At 46.4% G+C, this 21,262-nt stretch overlaps 1 protein-coding gene across 5 annotated transcripts in view, besides 5 other annotated features; it reads left to right on the top strand.

Annotated features, from left to right (window-relative positions):
• The window catches only part of CACNA1A (calcium voltage-gated channel subunit alpha1 A), a 300,038-nt gene that overhangs the window by 100,876 nt on the left and 177,900 nt on the right, over nucleotides 1-21,262 (top strand). The window lies entirely within an intron of this gene.
• Nucleotides 4,283-4,783: an enhancer, noted in NCBI's record as "H3K27ac hESC enhancer chr19:13511635-13512135 (GRCh37/hg19 assembly coordinates)". NCBI's record gives its function as "activates a minimal SCP1, AML or CMV promoter by ChIP-STARR-seq in primed H9 embryonic stem cells {active_cell/tissue: H9 hESC(primed)}" and the evidence as "EXISTENCE:reporter gene assay evidence [ECO:0000049][PMID:30033119]".
• Nucleotides 4,784-5,284: an enhancer, noted in NCBI's record as "H3K27ac hESC enhancer chr19:13511134-13511634 (GRCh37/hg19 assembly coordinates)". NCBI's record gives its function as "activates a minimal SCP1, AML or CMV promoter by ChIP-STARR-seq in primed H9 embryonic stem cells {active_cell/tissue: H9 hESC(primed)}" and the evidence as "EXISTENCE:reporter gene assay evidence [ECO:0000049][PMID:30033119]".
• Nucleotides 5,698-6,897: an enhancer, noted in NCBI's record as "P300/CBP strongly-dependent group 1 enhancer chr19:13509521-13510720 (GRCh37/hg19 assembly coordinates)". NCBI's record gives its function as "activates an origin of replication core promoter dependent on BRD2, BRD4, P300/CBP, MED14 and CDK7 cofactors, with strong dependence on P300/CBP, by STARR-seq in HCT116 cells {active_cell/tissue: HCT116}" and the evidence as "EXISTENCE:reporter gene assay evidence [ECO:0000049][PMID:35650434]".
• Nucleotides 6,231-6,375: an enhancer, noted in NCBI's record as "145 bp enhancer 68 fragment used in the MPRA reporter construct; PK_construct_3444". NCBI's record gives its function as "activates an SV40 promoter by MPRA in HepG2 and K562 cells {active_cell/tissue: HepG2 | K562}" and the evidence as "EXISTENCE:reporter gene assay evidence [ECO:0000049][PMID:23512712]".
• Nucleotides 6,298-6,308: a transcriptional cis regulatory region, noted in NCBI's record as "NFE2L2 motif; enhancer activity is reduced when this motif is scrambled". NCBI's record gives its function as "necessary for full MPRA enhancer 68 activity {active_cell/tissue: HepG2 | K562}" and the evidence as "EXISTENCE:site-directed mutagenesis evidence [ECO:0005528][PMID:23512712]".

The following is a 21,262-nucleotide window of genomic DNA, read 5'->3' as shown; positions in this document are numbered from 1 at the left end:
ATTGACATACAGCTCTTAGAACAGTATCCGGCTCCTTGTAAGCGCTCAAGAAATATTACAGACTGTTGATAATAATGCAATACTACTACCAATAATATGGCCAGGAGCAATGGCTCACACCTGTAATCCCAGCACTTTAGGAGGCAGAAGCAGGCTGATTGCTTGAGCACGGGAGTTCGAGGCCAGCCTGGGTAACATAGGGAGACTCTGTCTTTACAAAAAATAAAAATAAAAATACAAATAATTAGCCAGGTATGGTGGTGCATACCTGTAGTTCCAGCTACTTGGGAGGCTGAGGTGGGAGGATTGCTTGAGCCCAGGAAGTTGAGGCTACAGTGAGCTGTGATCACACCACTGCACTCCAGCCAGGGCAACAGAGTGAGACCCTATCTCAAAAATAATAATAATGGCCGGGCGCGCTGGCTCATACCTGTAATCCCAGCACTTTGGGAGGCCAAGGCGGGCAGATCACTTGAGGTCAGGAGTTTGAGACCAGCCTGGCCAACATGGTGAAACCCCATCTACTAAAAACACAAAAATTAGCCGGGTGTGGTGGCGGGGTGCCTGTAATCCCAGCCACTCAGGAGGCTGAGGCAGGAGAATCGCTTGAACCCGGGAGGTGGAAGTTGCAGTGAGCCGAGATCACACCACTGCACTCCAGCCTAGGTGACACAGTGAGACTCCATCTCAAATAATAATATGAGTAATAATAATAATATCATTTTTATCATCATTCTTACTAACAGTCTCTCACTCCTTGCCCTGCAGTTTTGCCTGTTTTCTTGGAATAACACTCTTCCACACCTTTCCCCTCAGGGATGGTTCACGTTTAGCATCATGACCCACCCCTGGGGATTAGTTAGCTCATTTCTGGAAAGCACTTTGGAGCTGTAGGTGCTTTGCAGGCTGGAAACATCACGGGACTTGTACCATATTTAAGCAATGCCAGATTATTCTGCCTGGCAGGGGGAGGACACAGAGGATACGGCCCTGGTATCTTTTCTCCCTGCCTACCTCAGCTTTGCTCTGAACCATTTTCTGTCCTGTTCAGGGCAGCCTGGGCCACTTGCCACTTCCAGCTTTCTCGGGAGAGGATGCCTTCCTGATGGCACGCCTCTTAACACACACCTGGTGCTGTTGTTGAAAAAGCAACAATTGACTCCAGCGCCAGCACTGAGAGGCTTGTCCTTAAAATTAGCAGGAGCTGTTGGAAGGTCGCTGTTAGCTCTTTTGACTGGAACACACTGTTCCCCAGGTGGCATGAGGCTGAATACAGTGCAGGGATTGGCTCTGCTCTCAGGTGGCCTGCTCCACGCTCCTGAGCTCCGGGTGGAAGCTGTGACCATTATTTCCTTAACAGAAACATATATAGCAGCATTAACTATGAACCTTATTACTGTGTGTGTGTGTGTGTATATGTGTATATATATATATGCACATATGTGCATATGTGTGCCTATGAACCTGTTCTGAGCACTTTACAAATGTCAATGTATTTTATCCTCCCAACAACCCATTTTATAAATAAGACTTGAGGCACAGAGAGGTTACGTTACTGCCCCAAGATCACACAGCTGGAGAGTGGTGAGGCCAAGATTTGAACATATGTACCATTGTACCATATGTACCAACTTTTTTTTTCTTTTTGGGATGCATTCTTGCTCTGTCACCCAGGCTGGAGAGCAGTGGCATGACCACGGCTCATTACAACCTCAACCTCCAGGTTCAAGCTATCCTCCCACCTCAGCCTCTCAAGTAGCTAGGACCACAGGTGCATACCACCATGCCCAGCTAATTTAAAGTTTTTTTTTGTTTGTTTGTTTGTTTGTTTGCAGAGATGGGGTCTCCTTATATTACCCAGGCTGGTCTAGAACTCCTAGGTTCAAGCAATCCCCCCACCTCGGCCTTCCAACATGCTGGGATTACAGGCATGAGCCACTGCACCCAGGTCCTCCCTCCTTATAAAGGTCGCCAAGCACAATCTTGTGAGCCTGGCCCTATCCACACCCATACGCAACATGGTGTGTATTTTTCAAACAAAAACTGAATGAACACCTCTGGTTTGGGTTCCCCTCACACTTGTCCCGGGTTTGTTGACTCTGTGTTGTGGGCCTAGACAAAGCAGTGTCTGGAGCTCCTAGACCCAGGGACCAGACAGTCTGGGTTCAAATCCTGGCTCTTCCACTTCTGCCTGAGTGCTCTCTCTGAACCTGTCTTTCTTTATCTATAAAATGGAGATAATTTTTTTAAACTCATCACTTGGTCAAACTGCTTTGAGCATGCAAATGAGTTCATATGTATAAACCTCTTAGAATGTCCCAGGCAAAGAACAACACTTCACTCAGATCAACATTTATTTAGCATCTACTGTGTACCCATGACTATTCTAGGTGATGAGGAGACCCTCTGGTTCTTATGAGGTAGTGAGGTGGGGGAGGGTGAGAACCCTAAACATTAACGATGGTGTGTTCGCAGGTGGGAAAATCAGTAAAGTCGGGTAAAGGGAATTTGGGAGTGCTGTGCTCAAGTCCTGGCCCTGCCACTTTCTGGGGTGCAAGATACAGCATTGAATAGGGTGGTCAGGGTAGGCCTTATTGGGAAAGTGATATTTGAGCAGACGATCTAGATGTCGGCACATATTGCTACTGTTTGATGGTACTAATATGAGTTTGAGTTTCACTTGCAAGTATATATATATATATATATATATATATATATATATATATATATGTGTGTGTGTGTGTGTATATATATATGTGTATATATATGTATATATATGTGTGTATATATGTATATATATATGTGTGTATATATGTATATATATGTATATATATGTATATATATGTGTGTATATATATGTGTATATATATGTATATATATATATGAAATTTGGTCCATTTATTTATGCTGATCAATTAATTGATGTTGAAATTATAATTGAATGTTTTATTAATAAACAGATACCCACATACTATTTTTTCAGAAATTGTTAGGTTTTGGGGTTTTCTTTAGATTTTGATTATTTTTATTTGCTTAATTTTCTTTTTTCTTTTTTTTAATTTTATTTTTCCATAAGTTATTGGGGTACAGGTGGTATTTGGTTGCATGAGTAAGTTCTTCAGTGGAGATTTGTGAGAACCTGGTGCACCCATCACCCGGGCAGTATACACTGCACCATATTTGTTGTCTGTTATCCAGTGCTCACCTCCTACTCTTCCCCCCAAGTCTCTAAAGTCCATTGTACCATTATTTTACTCACCCACATTCTTTGGCCTGAGATGCTGAGTGGTCATGACTCCCAGATCCCTTCTTGTTTCTGTATCAAAGATCTTTACTAAGATCCTGGCCTAGGGAACCTATTCCCTTTCCTCATCCCCAATGGGAGAAGGGGCTTCTTCCCCAGCTTATTTGCCAACTCATAGGAAAGGTATGAAGGAGAGGACTGTAGTTGTCTTGAAGCTGGTCAGATGTTGAAGAGATGATAATATTTGCTGATCAAGAGAGACAAAGCAATGCTGGAAGAAGAGGCTGTGTTAGTTAACACCAGCTGCAATAACCAATAAAACCAAAAATCTCTGGCTTAAGAGTATGCATGAGTGAGAAATCAACTTCTAAAGTACAACTGGTGGCCGGATGTGGTGGCTTATGCCTGTAATTCTAGCACTTTGGGAGGCTGTGGTGGGAGGGTCGCTTGACCCCAGTAGTTTAACGCCAACCTGGGCAACACAGTGAGACACCATCTCTACTAAAAATAAAAAATAATAAAGTGAAACTGGTGAGGGGTGCAATGAGGTGGAGTGGTGGGTGACTCAAATATGGCTCGACTCCATGCAGTCACTCAGGGATCCAGGCTGTTGGAGGCTCTCCCTGCTTAAACATGTGGCTTCCAAGGTTGTTCTAAGAGCCTACATTGAGACAGCAGCTGGGGAAAAGGGAAAGTGGAGTGGGAGGTACTTATGAGGGTTCCTGGAAGTGGTGAACAACACTTCTGCCTGCATTCTATTGGGTGGAATTTAGTCATGTGGCCCAGGCTAGCTGCATGGGAGGCTGGGAAATGTAGTCTCTGATTAGGCTGCCATTTCCCAGTCCCACTTGTGAATCTTTAGTGGGAAGCTCACCATGTTTGCACCAGGGATTCAGTCTACCTCCCACTCATGCCTCAACTATGTATCAGGCACTGTCGTAAGTACTTTACATATCAGCCTACCTAATGCAAACAACTACTCAGTGGGTGCTTTATTGGTCACATGTATTAGTGAGAACATGGAAACCCAGAGCCGTTAAATATCTTGCCCAAGGTCACACAGCTAGGAAGTGGCAGAGTTGGAATTTGAATCCAGGAAATCTGGCTGCAGAGCCCCACGCTTAGTATAAATTCATTGTAGTTTAGAAAGAGGCAGAAGGACCCTAAAATTGGCATAATCCATTTTTTGGTCCCTAAGGAACTGACTGAATTGACTACTTGTAAAAGTGAGTCCTGGACAGGCAACAGTGGCTCAGGTCTGTAATTCCAGGACTTTGGGAGGCTGAGGCGGGCAGATCACCTGAGGTCAGGATTTCAAGACCAGCCTGGCCAACATGGCAAAACCCTGTCTCTAAAAAAATAGAAAAATTAGCTGGGTGTGGCGGTGGGTGCCTGTAATTCCAGCTACTCAGGAGGCTGAGGCAGGAGAATCGTTTGAACCTGGGAGGTGGAGGTTGCAGTGAGCAAAGATCACGCCACTTTACTCCAACTTGAATGACAGAGCAAGACTCTGCCTCAGGACCGCCATGGCCCCCTGGGTTCTAGGTCAGAGTTTCTCCGCCACAGCACTGATGACTTTGGGGGCTGCATTATTAGCTCCAAAATGGGAGCTATCCTGTGCACTGCCTCAACTTACTTGATGCCAGTAGCGCCCGCGCCCCAGTTGTGAGAACCAAAAATGTCTCCACACATTGCCAAATGTCCCCTGGGAGGTGAAATCACCCCTGGTTGAGAGTCACTGTTCTAGATTGTTAAATATTATCTTACACTCTAGCACAAGTCCAAGGCAAACTGACTTAGAAATTACCAACCTTGCAAAAAATAGAAGATTTCTTAAAGTCAGTGAGCATGATGGTGGCAAGCTGCTGAAATCACACCCCCAGACATTAGCAGATGGGATCTGGACAGTATTCATCTAGTTAAAAATTGACAAGGACTGGGACACTGCAGGCTCTTCAAAAGAGAATCATTTGAATAACAAGGGGTCAAGACAGGGGTAATTGGTGAAAGCCCCTGCTCATAATTTGAAAATATAAATAGGCATCATGAAAATTCATCCTGCAAAAGTCAAAAGTCGAATGTGCAGTGTTATACATGATCAGTTGATTTGGGAGGGGAAATTGCATGCACACACATGAGAGCTTGCACACCCACACACACACACCTGTTCAAGTGTGTGTGCCAGTGCTCAGTGAGGACCATCTCCCCAACCTGTCTGATCATCTTGCTTTGGGGTGACCCTATGGGTGAGGCAGAAATTCTTGGATCATAGTTTTCTAATGAATATTATAATTGTTAACTTCTGATGGGTGCTGACTTTTTCATCTTTGCAACACTGCGTAGGTATTTTTACTCTCCCCATTTTACAGATGAGACAACTGAGGCTCAGAAAGATTGATTAGCTCTACACGAAGCCAGGATCCAGGCTTAGCCTGGCTCCAGGAATCATGTTTTGAGTTACGTAGCTTCCCTGATTCTGAGGGACCTCCCCACTTCTGAAATCTTCTACTGTTACTCCCCATGGCCCTTTCCTATTGACCGGAGGCACCCCAGCTCCTCACTCGTCCCTTATCTTATGAAACATGACCATGATGTCTGAATTCAAAGGAGAGCCTGGGCTTTGTGGGGAAAACGAAGCAGAAAAAGAAAGGTGGAGGTTGGTGGTTGTTTTTGGCATGGTGAGGAGCCTGTCGTTGCTTGAGGAAAGCAAGAAAGGAGATTGCTGGGGCTTGGATCCATCTCTGGGTGCCTGTGGGTCTGTCTGTAAAAATGAGAACTGGTCGTGCTCATTAGAGGATTTGACCGTTAGGCCTTGGGATAGCGATTTGGGAACTTTTTTCTGCTAAGACAAAGAATAATATGGTTCAGGTTCATTTTGCTCCTGCTTTCCCAAGCCCTACATCTCTTCTGGGCTTTTTTTTTTTTCCTTTTCTCTCCTTCTTCTTCTTCTTCTTCTTCTTCTTCTCATTTTTGGATCTGGACTTCTGCTGACTCATCTCTCTGAGCAAGGAAGGAGGGAGGAAGTCAGAATTGCTCATTAACCGTTTTCTTTAGTGACTCAGCTGTGATTCACATTTTAATTAATGGAGGAGAAAAACCTGATCAGTCCTAAGGCATCTGCCCAATCACGCATAACTCCAGGCTGGTGATAATAATAATACTTGAAAAAAGTGGGGTGTCCTGAATTAAACTATGGCTCATTCCCCACATTAGTCTTGAGGACTCCACCAGGCCCTCTAAGTTCCAGGTCTCAATGGGGCTCCCTGAACCAGAGCAGCTAGTCCAAGCCCCGAGCAGCATTTCTGCAGAGTTAGTCTGAGGTCAGGACAAGAAACAGAGGCTCAAGCCCTCCTGGGATCGCAGGAGGATCATGGGAATGTAATATTGTTTCCTGAGCTGGTCTTTGGCTATAATCCCAGGCTCAAGCCTGGCCTCCCTCCCCTCGGGGCCTGAAATTTGTCAGAGCCTATTGCAGGGGCAGCTTCTGTGCTTTTTGTTTGCCCAGAGAATGAGAAAAGTCCAGATAATCATGACCGCTACTTCCTGAGCACTTACTATGCATCAGGTGGTGTGCTCAGCACTTCTCATGAATGATCACGTTGAATCCTCACTCTGTCCACAAAAAGAAAGAGCTTTTATATAATTCTCCAACCTCCCTATGAGGAAACTGAGGCTTGGCAATTGCCCAATGTAGACAATTAGTAAATAATCAGGCAGGATATAAACCCAACCCTTTCCCACCTGGGAGCCAGAGCTTGCATCTACTATACTTCTCTGCTTTCCAGTCAGCTGCAAAGAAAAATTGGAAGCTGATAGCTCATTCAACAAACACTTATTGAACCCTTCCACCTGCTCAGCCCTGTTCTAGACACCAGAGATCCATCAGTGAACCAAAGAGGCAAATCCATGGTCTCATGAAACTGACAATTTACCTGCCCAAGTGTATTAGTTACTGTTTATAAGTTCCTATTAAGTGTATTAGATATGCTTGCAGCTGTAACAAAGAATCCCAACATGCATAAGGGCTCAAAACAATAAAAATTTCGTTCTTGCACAGATAAAGTTCAAAAGGTGTATTCTTTTTTTTTTTTTCTTTTGCGACGGAGTTTTGCTCTTATCCTCCAGGCATGAGTGCAATGGCCCAGTCTCGGCTCACTGCAACCTCCACCTCCTGGGTTCAAGCATTCTCCTGACTCAGCCTCCCCAGTAGCTGGAATTACAGGTGCCCGCCACCACACCTGGCTAATTTTTTGTATTTTTAGTATAGGTGGGGTTTCACCATGTTGGTCAGGCTGGTCTTAAACTCCTGACCTCAGGTGACCCACCTGCCTCGGCCTCCCAAAGTGCTGGGATTACAGCCGTGAGCCACCGTGCCTGGCCAAAAAAAAAATGTATTCTTAAACAGCAGGCACCTCTCCTCTAAGCAGTAAGTCAGGGGCCCAGGCTTGTTCCATATTGTAGCTCCTCATCTTCAACCCATGGCTTCCAAAGTCTCCATGCTTCTTGATATCAAGCCACAGAAGGGAAAAGAGCATGAGAAGGGCACAGGAGAAATGTTTCTGGGACAGACCCAGAAGTAGTCCATATGACTTCCATCTACCTCCCACTGGCTAGAGCTTACATGGCGGCACCCACTTGCAGAGCTGGGAAATGGAGTCTAACTGAGCATCCAGGAAGGAGAGACAGACATGAGTCTTTGCGTGGGTCCTCACTGAGAATCAAGCTCCACATTTTGATCGATGTCACCAGAGCGTACATGGCGGCGCCCACTTGCAGAGCTGGGAAACGGAGTCTAACTGAGCATCCAGGAAGGAGAGACAGACATCAGTCTCTGCGTGGGTCCTCACTGAGAATCAAGCTTCACATTTTGATCTGTGTCACCTCCTTGCAAGCCCTACCTTAGGACAATTTTAAGGGACATTCCTATCTTCTTCCACCCTTAGGACAGTTTTAAGGGACACTCCTGAGTTCTTCCACCCACCTCCTCTGTTTCTTGGGCTTCCAGCTCTCAGGATTTGCCTTTGCCTTACAATGGGGTGAAGCAAGAATCTGGAAGAATGTCTCTCCCCACAATTTGAAGTCTTATTTGAAAAAAAGCAGTAGAGCATCCCTCCCTCTTGAGGTAGGGAAATCTAGAATCAAATCCTGCTTCTCCAGACTTTGACCTCAGAAACTGGGGGGACTTCAAGGTCTTCAGGTGGGCAGCTTTCATGAACCATTCATTCCTCCCACCTCATACCAATCAGGGTCCTAACAGGAAAAAGAATTAACTTCTAGATGGTTCAAAAGAAGACCATGCCATGAAGAGACTCCTTAAAGAGATAGGAACAGGTGAGAGAAATAGATAACGGCTGTTTGAGGTCCTCAGAGAGAAGCCATCGCGAGCCCTACATTTCCTGGAACCCAGTGGAGGCAGAGCTGTGCAGAAGGGACTACTGTCAGAACCAGGGAGGGAGCAGGGAAGCAATATTCCAATCTCTTTCCCTCCCCTCATCTTCTGCCAGCGCTTCCCCTCAGCCAAACCAAACCGGAAACGGAGCAAAGCATTCTGGGAGTTGTAGTCTTCAAGGGTCCGCCTCGAGGGCACAGAGCCCGCTGGAGCATTGACCTAGAGGGCACACAGGGAATGACTAGTTTGCACCATCATGTGACGGACTGCACGCCCTCGATTATGTAATCCACTCTATAATTCAACTGCAGAGCTGCATGGTACAGCAGGATAGCCACTAGCCACACGAGGCTATTTAAATATAAATGTACATTCATTAAAATTTAACCAAATGAAAATTTTAGCCACTGAGCCCCATTTCAAATGCTCATTAGCCACACGTGGCTCTTGGCTACCATATTGGACAGATCAGAATAGAACATTTCCATCATCCCAGAAAGTTCTAGGGGCCGGCGCAGCTGTGGTGTAACCTGAGCCCATGCATGTTATGGAATGGAGAAGAGAGAAAACAGCACAAGAGGCAGTTTTGAAGGGAGACAGAGAGCTGTGGATCAGTAGGGAGGAGACTCTCTAGGCAAAGGAGCAGTTGAGAAGCAAGAAAGTTGAGTGAGCTGCTTTGCTGCGATGGAGGCTTCCCTCACGGGGAAGAGTAGAGTCAGAAAGCTTTAGTTCAAGTTCAGCTCTGAAATGAACCAATGAGTGTTCTGACAAGACACCTGGCCTTCCGGAACCTTGGTTTTGTAGTGGCCAAGGGCTTGACCCTCTGAAGGTTCACTGAAAAAAATCAACTCACAAGGCATATTAATTGGAGAAAAGGCAGGCAGATTTATTTAATGTGTTTGCACGAGAGCCTTCAGAATGAAGACCCAAAGCTGCAGGGGAAATTGTCCGTTTTTTAAGCTTAGGTTCAACAAAGTATGGACAGCGGTGTAGAAATATGATTGAACAAAAAGTGTACAATGTAAATGCTAATAGACTGAGTGGGGAAACCCAAAAAGGGCTGTCTTGATTCTCCTTGGTCTCTCTGAGCATGCATTTCTTCCGGGTATGGGACAAGACCCTCTCTGGAATGGAGGGGGGGCTCTCTTGGTTCTCCTTGGTCTCTCTCAGCATGCATTCCTTCCGGGTATGGGGCAGGACCCTCTCTGGAATAAGGGGGCTGTCTTGATTCTTCTTGGTCTCTCAGAGCATGCATTCCTTCTGGGTATGGGGCAGGACCCTCTCTGGAATGGGATCCTTATAACCTACGGTCAAATAACGTAAGTTAGATAATTTCTTTTTTTTTTTTTTCTTTTTTTTGAGACAGAGTCTGATTCTGTTGCCCAGGCTAGAGTACAGTGGCACAATCTCGGCTCACTGCAGCCTCTGCCTTCTGGGTTCAAATGATTCTCCTGCCTCAGCCTCCCAAGTAGCTGGGACTACAGGTAAGCACCACCATGCCCAGCTAATTTTTGTATTTTTTAGTAGAGACAGGGTTTCACCATGTTGGCCAGGCTGGTCTCAAACTGCTGACCTCAAGTGATCCACCACCTGGGCCTCCCAAAGTCCTGGGATTTGTAATCCCAGCATGAGCCACTGTGCCCAGCCAGATCATTTCTTTTTCTTTTTCTTTTTCTTTTCTTTTTTTTTTTTTTTTTGAGATGGAGTCTCACTCTGTTGCCCAGGCTGGAGTGCTGTGGTGCAAACTCAGCTCACTGCAGCCTCTGCCTCCTGGGTTCAAGCAATTCTCCTGCCTCAGCCTTCCAAGTAGCTGGGACTAGAGGTGCGCGCCACCATGCCCAGCTAATTTTTGTATTTTTAGTAGAGACAGTGTTTTGCCATGTTGGCCAGGCTGGTCTTAAACTCCTGACCTCAAGTGATCCACCCACGTCGGCCTCCCAAAGTCCCGGGATTTGTAATCCCAGCATGAGCTACCACAGCTGGCCAGATAATTTTTTTATAACTAGTTTTTACAAAGAAAGGTGGAGGGAAAGTTAGAGTAACATTTTTAGGTGTTAGGGCTGACTTTGGGGAAAAGAGGTCTGGTTTCTACGACCCGCCTTAGGGAAGAGGGATTCTAGTTTTTGTGGCTAGCCCCAGGGGAGAATGGGACTAAGAGATAGAAGGGCAGGAGAAGGTCAGAGAAAAACTTTTGCTTCTGTGGCTGCTTCGGAGAACTTCATTTTGGGGTATTGTTTTCTGAGCCCCAACAGTTTGCTTATCAGTGAAGTGGGTATAGGCGCCCACCTCCCACAGTGACGATGCTGTGAACAGGGCTTTGGAAGAGTAGAACTATGAAATATTTGTTGTTGCCTTGTGGGGAAATGGTCGTTAAAGCCAAAATTGTTCAAGAGAAGAAGCAGGAAGAGTTCCTTTCTTTCCTGCAGGTATCCTCTTAAGCTGAGTCTTCAGAATCCCCTGACAACGTTTAATCAACACTTTATTAAATTCACCCCAACCCTGCTTCAAACCTTCACCTGGTCCTCGAGATCTTCCAACTGTTTCTTGATGAAGTTAGCAGGCAATTGTATGGCGGGATCATCATCTCATGTTTTGTTTTGTTTTTTTCCTTTTTACCCTCTGACTTTGAGAAATCCTTGTCCTTTTACTTTTCCAAACCTGAGAGCATTGCAGAGAAGTTAGAATTGAGCAGGACATGGGCTTAAGACCCAGCCCAGCCATGTGCTAGCTGTGTGAACTCGAAGCAGTGACCCCACCTCTCTGACCTGGAAAGTAGAGGGAATGATAGGACCCACCACCGCCACACTTGTAGGGTCATCATGGGGATTGAATAAAATAATGCATAAGACTTGGCCCACAGCAAGCACTCAAGAAATGTTAGCTACTTCCTAAATATATTTTTAACCTTTTATTGAATATAACATACATACAGAAAAGCACATGTATCATACAAGTAGAGCTTGAGTGATTTTCAAAAACTGAGCCCAGTCATGTAACCAGCGCCTAGTTCAAGAAACAGAACATAGCCGAGTGAGGCTGAGGCAGGAGAATCACTTGAATCTGGGAGGCAGAGGTTGCAGTGAGCAGAGATCATGCTATCGCTCCCCAGCGTGGGCAATGGGGGCGGAGGGGAAGAGAGAGAGAGAGAGAGAGAGAGAGAGGAAGGAGGGAGGGAAGGAAGGAAGGAAGGAGGGAGGGAGGGAGGGAAGGGAAGGAAGGGGAGAGAGAGAAAAGGAAAGAAAAGAGGAAGACAGAAAGAGAGAGAGAAAGGTAAAGAAAGAAAAGGAAAGAAAGAGAAAGAAAGAAAAGAGGAAGACAGAGAAAGAAAGAGAAAGCTAAAGAAAGAAAAAAAGGAAGGAAGGAAAATAGGGAGGGAAGAGGAGGAGGAAGAAGAAGAAGAAGGGGGGGAGGGAGGGAACAGCTGCAGCTTCGAGGAAGGAAGGAGGGAGGGAAGGAAGGAAGGAAAGGAAGGAAGGAAAAAAAAACAGCACCAACGTTTAGAAACCCCCTTGTGCCTCTGAGGTCACCAGTAACTCCATCCTGACTTCAAACAGTCTAGATTAGTTTTGCTTGTTTTTGAACTTTAAGCACATGGGGTCATACAGCATGCATGCATTGACTTCTTTCCCTTGACGTTGTATGTGTGAGATTCATCTGTGCTGTTGCTGTTCATTTGTTCTCATCGCTGTGTGTGCTGAACCACCTGTTCATTTACTCTACTAATGGTGGGCAGTTTGGTGCTTTCTACTTTGGGGCTATTCCAGAGAAAGCTACTTTGAACACACTCAGATATGTCTGTGGGTGACCACTCTTCATATTTCTATGGGAGATATTCCTAGGACCGGAACATCTGAGTCAGAGGGAGGAATTGGTTTAGCTTTGGTAGGAACTGCCTAACAATTGGCCGGGCACAGTGGCTCATGCCTGTAATCCCAGCACTTTGGGAGGCTGAGGGGGGCAAATCACTTGAGCTCAGGAGTTCGAGACCAGCCTGGCCAATGTGGCAAAACCCCTGGCCAACATGGCAAAACCCCGTCTCCGCAAAAAAATACAAAGATTAGCCGAGCATGGTGGCGTGTGCCTGTAATCTCAGCTACTCAGGAAACTGAGGCAGGAGAATTGCTTGAACCTGGGAGGCAGAGGTTGCAGTGAGCAGAGATTGCACTACTGTACTCCAGCCTGGGTGGCAGAATACATGAAACTCCATCTCAAAAAGAAGAAAGGAAGGAAGGAAGGGAAGGAAGGAAAGGAAACTGCCCAACAGTTTTCCCAAGTGTTTGGGATGGAAGGAAGGAAGGAAGGAAGGAAAAGAAACTGCCTAACAGTTTTCCCAAGTGGTTGGACCAGTTAAAACTCCCACCACCTGTGAATGAGAGTTTGTTTTTATTTTGCTCCTGGAGTGCCTCTCCTGTAGCAGGTTCCCACTGAATGTCTGGGAATTCAAATGTAATGCACTTGTTCATTTCCTCAAGAGCTTCACTCCATCAATTGGATTCATCCATTGGCTCTCCCATCTCCACTGACACTATGTTCTCACCTCTATTTGGAAGACATCCTGCCTCCACCTGCCCAAGTCACATTATCTTCTCATTCCAGCCTCTCAAGGAGAGTTTTCTCTTTCACCACCTCCTCTAGCCCTGGTGATTGGCAAGGTCTCGCAACAGTACCCTTCAAAACACTCATGACTGTGAATGCACTGGCCTTCACTAAGTTTCCCATTCTTCTCTTTCTTTCTTTTTTCTTTTCTTTTCTTTTTTTTTGAACAGAGTTTCACTCTTGTTGACCAGGCTCGAGTGCAGTGGCACAAACACAGCTCACTGTAGCCTCAACCTCCTGAGCTCAAGGTATCGTCCTGCCTCAGCCTCCTTAGTAGCTGGGACCACAGACATGCAACGTTGTGCCCAGCTGATTTTCTTTTTTTTCTTTTTTTTTTTTTTTTTGAGACATGGTCTCACCCTGTCAACCAAGTGCAGTAGCATGATCACAGCTCACTGCAGCCTTGACCTCCCGGGCTCATGCGATTCTCCCACCTCAGCCTCCCGAGTAGCTGGGGCTACAGGCACAAGCCACCATGCCTGGCTAATTTTTGTACTTCTTGTAGAGACCAGGTTTCACCATGTTGCCCAGGCTGGTCTTGAACTCTTGGGCTCAAGCAGTCCTCCTGCCTCAGCCTCCCAAAATGCTGGGATTACAGGTGTGAGCCAGCACGCCCGGCCATGGCTAATTTCTTCATTTTTGGTAAAGACAGGTCTCACTTTGTTGCCTAGGCTGGTCTTGAACTCCTGGACTCAAGCAATCCTCCTGTCTCAGCCTCCCAAAGTGCTAGGACTACCGATGTGAGCCACCGCACCCGGCAATTTCCCCTTCTTGACTTCTCCAGAGCTCTCATCCCTCTCGAGCTCCTGTCTCTTCTAGAATCACTTACCTCACCACCTTATGGGGTTTTTGCCTCTGTTCCTACTCCTCTTTATTTAAGAAAACACTGTACTTTAAGAGGGCTTCAGAAACCACCCGAAATAGAAACATGTCCTTTTGTTCAATCCTTTACTTTAAAAGACAAATAAAATGAAGAATTGCTCTCCATGTAGAAGGTTAAGGAGCTTGGGAGGACCTTCTGTGAGTGGGGAGAACTTTACATTAAAGGAAAAAAAATGCTGGAGAATAGCTGTGAACCCAGGAAGGGAGAAGGACTTCCTCCACTGAACTTGTAAAGCACAAACTCTAAGGCAAAAAAAGACATGATTACATGAAAACTAAGATATTTGTTCAAATAAAGATGCAATTGGGGCCAGGTGCGGTGGCTCACGCCTGTAATCCCAGCACTTTGGGAGGCCGAGGCAGGCGAATCACGAGGTCAGGAGATCGAGACCATCTTGGTCAACATGGTGAAACCCCATCTCTACTAAAATACAAAAAATTAGCCAGGAATGGTGTCACGTGCCTGTAATCCCAGCTACTTGGGAGGCTTAGGCAGGGGAATTGCTTGAACCAGGGAGGTGGAGGTTGCAGTGAGCTGAAATCACGCCACTGCACTCCAGTCTAGCGACAAAGCAAGACTCCGTCCAAAAAAAAAAGATGCAATAGCAGGTGGTTCGGGAACCAAACCTTACATCCAGATGCTGGTTGTCCCATTTCCTGTGAATCCTTGGGTGAGTTATCAACCTCTCTGAGCCTCAGTTTCCTCGTCAATAAAATGGAGAAAATAGTATCTACCTATGGAATTGTTGTGAGTTTTGAATGAGTTAATATTTATAAATCATTTAGAATAGGAATTAGCACATGGTAAATAGTGGATAGAATCATAAAAAAAAAATTGATCAGGGGTTAACTTCTAACTGCTGTTTGTTATAGAGGTCCCTAGCACTGTGTGGTCATTTTAAATTTAGATGATTTAGAATTAAATGAAATTTAAAACTCAGTTCTTCATTCACACTAGCCACATTTTAAGTGCTCAAAACCCACAGGTGACTAGTGGCTACCATATTTGGCAGCACAGATTGAGAACAGATTTATCATCCAGAAAGTTCTGTCAGACAGTGTTGATCAAGGCTACATGAGGGTCTGGGTGCAGTGGCTCACACCTGTAATCCCAGTGCTTTGGAAGGCCAAGGTGGGAGGATCACTGGAGGCCAGGGGTTTGAGACCAGCCTGGGAAACAGAGAGACCTCATCTCTACCAACATTTTAAGAATTAGCCAGGCAAAGTGTTGCATGCCTGTAGTCCCAGCTACTCAGGAGGCTGAGACAGGATTGCTTGAGCCCAGGAATTTGAGGCTGCAGTGAACTATGAGCGCACCGCTGCACTCCAGTCTGGGTGACAGAGTGAGACCTGTCTCTAAACATAAAAAATAAAAATGTAGGTGGGGCATAGTGGCTCCCGCCTGTAATCCCAGCACTTTGGGAAGCCGAGATGGGCAGATTGTGAGGTCAGGAGATCGAGACCACCCTGGCTAACATGGTAAAACCGCGTCCGTACTAAAAATAAAAAAAAATTAGCCAGGCATGGTGGCGCATGCCTGTAGTCCCAGCTACTCGAGAGGCTGAGGCAGGAGAATTGCTTGAACCTGGGAAGCAGAGGTTGCAGTGAGCTGAGATTGCGCCACTGCACTCCGGCCTGGGCGACAGAGCGAGACTCTGTCTCAAAATAAATAAATAAATAAATAATAATAAAGTAAAAATAAAAATGCAAAGACTACCTGAGGGAATGTCTGCAAGTCAACCAGAATAACACAGCAACCCCAATAGGAAAACAGGCCGAAAATGTGAACAGGCGGATCAGGGAAGTGAAGTCTGAAAAGCTAATCAGCCTATGACATGGTACTCAAAGTCATTTGTAACCAGAAAGATGGAAATGAAAGCAGTATCTCTGTACACCTTTAATATTGGGGAAAAAATATGTGAATAAGCCAAGGGTTTCCAGCGATGCGGGCACAGAGGAAAGTCTTGCACCACTCAAAGGGGTGTGGCCCAGGGAGGCCACTCTGGAGACATATCGGTAGTACTCAGTCCAGTGAGGTCCAGCACCATCAGCGCTTATGTCCCCAGGCATCCATCCCAGGGACATTCTTACCAGGTCTGTTAGGGGCAGGTACGAGAATGCTTACTCCAGCACCATCTATATAAGGGGAGCTGAAGGCCACCTGGTGTCCCTCCTGGAGACCAGGAGGCGGCATGTGACAGCGGCACCCATGGAGCACCAGAATGAGTGAGAGCTCCAGACCGCATATCCGACAGATACTACGGGATGGGGCTTTTAGAAATATGGTTGTTGCCGGGCACGGTGGCTCATGCGTGTCATCCCAGCACTCTGGCAGGCCAAGGCGGGTGGATCACCTGAGGTCAGGAGTTCGAGACCAGCCTGGCCAACATGGTGAAACCCTGTCTCTATTAAAGATACAAAAATTAGCTGGACGTGGTGGCGGGTGCCTGTAATCCCAACTACTCGGGAGGCTGAGGCAAGAGAATCGCTTGAACCCAGGAGGCAGAGGTTGCAGTGAGCCGACATCGTGCCACTGCACTCCAGCCTGGGTGACAAGAGCAAAACTCTGTCTCAAAAAATTTAAAAAACAAAAAATAAAAATATGGTTCTGGGTGAAAACAGGAAACAACAGAATGTGTCTAACTTCATCCTGCTTATGTCAGTTAAAAATAGACACACTCAAAATATCGCACGTGTTTTTGCGAGAATGCACTCCTATAAGGCCAAATTAAACATTCTCTCAGTTGTCTCTGGGAGGGAGAAGAATGAAAGTAGGGTATAGAGAGATATAGGGGAATTAATGCATGAATGAATGAAGGTATAAACAAGAGACAGGCGTCATACAGACCAAAGGTAAAGATATCCCGTAACCTGAGGAGAGCAAAGAACTTGACTCTGCATTTGAAGATTCAGAAAATGAATTTCAGAAATAGTTTTCTCGCCAGGGGGTGGCTCACGCCTGTAACCCCACCACTTTGCGAGGGCGAGGCAGGTGGATCACTTAAGGTCAGGAGTTCGAGACCAGCCTGGCCAACATGATGAAACCCTGTCTCTACTAAAAATACAAAAATTAGCCAGGCATGGTGGCATGTGCCTGTAATCCCAGCTACTCAGGAGGCTGAGGCAGGAAAATCACTTGAACCCGGGAGGCAGAGGTTGCATTGAGCTGAGATCACACCATTGCACTCCAGCCTGGGTGACAGAGCAAGACTTTGTCTCAAAAAAAAAAAAAAAAAAAAAAAAAAAAGAAGAGGAAGAAATCGTTTTTTCAAGAAGGGGAAAGCTGGGTGATTTAAGAATGAACTTGAAGAGGATCACTCAGTCCTCAACCTAGGAGTGGCAAGAATATAGACTGTATGGGAAGTGGTTCTGCTCCTTGGTACCCATCTTAGAAATATTTGGCCTGAGTCTGTAAGAGGCAGGTACTTTATCTAACCTGAGGTTAGGGGGCCACTACATCCCCATCCCCTCCCCTGCTTTCTAACCATGCTAACATCTTCTCACTCTCCTGTCTCCTCTCCTTCTCACTCCCCTAATCTGCCTATTCACATTTTGGGCCTGTTTTCCTATTGGGGTTGCTGTGTTATTCTCACTGATTTGCAGACATTCCTCTGTGTCATCTTTTTAATTTTGTTTTAATTTTTAGAGGCAGGATGTCATTCTGTTGCACTGGCTGTAGTGACGTAGCTCACTGCAGCCTCAAACTCTTGGGCTCAAACTCCTGTCCTCTGCCTCCACTTCTCAACTGGTAACCTCACTTCTCTTCATGAGGTCTCTCCAGCCCCAGGGCCTTTGCACATGTTCCCCTCTCTTCTGAGTGGCATATGGTAGTTGCTCCTCTGTAAATATTTATTGACATCCTGACTTCCAACCAGCAGAGAATTGACCTCCTTCCCATGCTCAGGCTAGTGAAGGCATGAGTTTGGCTGAGGTCCCAGTGGGGAAGGTGAGTGGGGTGGCAGAGTTAACCAGGAGCAGCATGGTAGAATGGGTAAAACCAGACGTAGCACGCAGGCACCACATGTTAGCTGGACAAGTAGTTTAACCCCATGGGTCTCAATTTCCCCATCAATGAAAGGGAGAATAGAACAAGTCCCTGGTAAGCAGCATAAAATGAGCTCTCAGAATGTAAAGTAACAAGCACACAACCTGGAAGAGAATACATTTAGTGAATATTGGCTCCTTTAATCAGCAGGTTCTGATATGACTTAGCTACAATTAAGAAAATAAAAATGGAGGCCGGGCGCAGTGGCTCATGCCTGTAATCCCAGCACTTTGGGAGGCCAAGACGGGTGGGGTGGATCACCTGAGGTCAGGAGTTTGAGAACAGGCTGGCCAACATGGTGAACCCCATCTCTACTAAAAATACAAAAATTAGCCAGGCGTGGTGGCGCACGCCTGTAGTCCCAGCTACTCGGGAGGCTGAGGCAGGAGAAACATTTGAACCCAGGAGGTGGAAGTTGCAGTGAGCCCAGATTGCACCACTGAACTCCAGCCTGGGCGACAGAGTGAGATTTGTCTCAAAAACAAAAGAAGTCTGGAGGCCAGGAGGTTGGTTGCAGGGTTGGTTCCTTGGCTCAACAATGTCTCCAAAGAGTCCTTCCATCTTTCCACTCTAACATCGTCACTGTAAGGACTTTTTTTAACATTTACCACTCACAGCCCCAAGACGACTGCGTCAGTTCTTTCTTTTTTTCCTTCAGACAGAGTCCCGCTCTGTCGCCCAGGCTGGAGTGCAGTGGCATGATCTCGGCTCACTGCAACCTCTGCCTCCTGGGTTCAAGCGATTCTCCTGTCTCAGCCTCCCGAGTAGCTGGGATTACAGGTGCCTGCCACTGCATCCGGCTAATTTTTTGTATTTTTTTTAGTAGAGATAGGGTTTCACCATATTGGTCAGGCTGGTCTCAAACTCCTGACCTCAGGTGATGCACCTGCCTCGGCCTCCCAAAGGGCTGGGATTACAGGCGTGAGCCACTGTGCCCGGCCGATGACTGCCTCAGTTCTAAGGTACTTACCCAGCCATCCACGTAGACAGACACAAAAGCATCCGGCCAAAGAAGAGGGAGAGGAAGGGCTGTCTCTTACCATGTGACTCATCTCACGGGGAAAAAATCCTTTTCCAGAAGCACCCAGCAGATTTTTCACCCAGATCCTGTTAGGCCTACGAATGGGTCATGTGACAAGTGCTCTTATTGCAAGGAATCTTGGGAAAAAGAGACTATTAGGCATTTTCTGCCTCTTTGATGGGAGGTGGGCTCTGCCAGTAAGGCGGGTAGTGGTGGTGGCTCTTGGATGGACAACTGTGTCTTCCATTCTTCTTCTTCTTTTTTTTTTTTTTTTAAGAGACAAGGTCTCACTCTGTTGCCCAGGCAGAAATGCAGTGGCACAATCACAGCTCACTGCTGCCTCGACCTGCCAGGCTCAGGTGATCCGCCCACCTTAGCCTCACGAGCAGCTGGAGGAGTGTACCACCATGGCCGGCTAATTTTTATATTTTTTGTAGAGATGGGGTCTCTTTATGTTGCCCAGGCTGGTCTTGAACTCCTGAGCTCAAACAATCCTCCTGCCTCAGCCTCCCAAAGTGCTGGGATTACAGGCATAAGCCACCACGCCTGGACTCTCTTCTTTAAATACTGAGCCTTCCACCTCTTCTAGAATATACTCTGTTAATTATCAACCACACTTTTCTACATTTTTGCTTCATTATTCATTCAGTAAACATTTATTGAGTGCCTACTGTATGCCAGGCACAGCTTTAGGTGCTGGAGATGCTATGAACAAAACAGATGAAAATTTCTAAAAAATAAAATAAAAAATAAAAATAAATTTTGCAAAGCCAGGCACAGTGGCTTAGGCCTATAGTTCCACCTACTCAGGAGTCCAAGGCAGTAGGATCTCATGAGACTGGGAGTTTGAGTCCAGCCTGGGCAGCATACTAGGACTCTGTCTCTAAAAAAGAAAAGAAGGCCGGGCGCAGTGGCTCACGCCTGTAATCCCAGCACTTTGGGAGGCCGAGGCAGGTGAATCGCAAGGTCAGGAGTTTGAGATCAGCCTGACCAACATGGTGAAACCCCGTCTCTACTAAAAATGTAAAAATTAGCCAGGCATGGTGGCAAGTGCCTGTAATCCCAGCTACTTGGGAGGCTGAGGCAGGAGAATCGCTTGAACCTGGGAAGCGGAGGATGCAATAAGCCGAGATCGTGCCACTGCACTCCAGCCTGGGCAACAGAATGAGACCCTGTCTCAAAAAAAAAAAAAAAAAGAAAGAAAGAATAGAAAATATCTGCCCTACGGGGATGGACATGCTAGAACATCAAAGTCCAATGGAACTTTCTGCACTGATGAAGTATGTATGTATGCACCAGCCACATGTGGCTTGGGAGCACTTAAAACGTGACTGGTACAAGCGAATTTTTCATTTAATTTAAATGAATTTAAATCTGTATTTAAATAGCCATGTGTGGCTAGTGGTTACTTTATTGGGCGGTGCAGCTCTCTAAAGGCCAAGAGATACATCATCAACTTCTCTCCCTTGACCCATATTCAGTTCTCTCCCACCCTGAAAATCTCCTCTCCTACCCAGGCTCACATTTCCAGTTCTTCTCCTCTTGTTCTCCCTCAACCATCAGCCCCCGCAAGACTGACGTGACCCTGATGCCGTATGAAATGCATTCTTCATCCTTTACTCTTACTCACCTCTGTGCGGCCCTGGAGACCAGTGACCTCTCCTTTCTCAAAATACTTTATTTCTGTGTGTTTTTGTTGTTGCTATTGTTTTTGGGGGGTTTTCTTGAGATGGAGTTTCACTCTCATCACCTAGGCTGGAGTGCAGTGGTGCGATCTCAGCTTACTGCAACCTCTGCCTCCCAGGTTCAAGCGATTCTCCTGCCTCAGCCTCCCAAGTAGCTGGGATTACAGGCTCCCGCCACCACGGCTGGCTAATTTTCTTGTATTTTTGGTAGAGACGGAGTTTTGCCATGTTGGCCAGGCTGATCTCGAACTCCTAACCTCAGGGGATCCACCTGCCTCGGCCTTTCAAAGTGCTGAGATTACAGGCATGAGCCACCGCACCCAGCCTCAAAATGCTTTTGAACTTGACTGTCAGGTATGCCATTCTCCACACCAGTCTCCTCCCATGTCTGTGTCTTCTC

Source organism: Homo sapiens, chromosome 19, assembly GCF_000001405.40.
Source record: "Homo sapiens chromosome 19, GRCh38.p14 Primary Assembly".
Taxonomy (NCBI): domain Eukaryota; kingdom Metazoa; phylum Chordata; class Mammalia; order Primates; family Hominidae; genus Homo; species Homo sapiens.
Note: the sequence above shows the minus strand (reverse complement) of the source record. Positions and strands in the feature narration are given on the sequence as shown.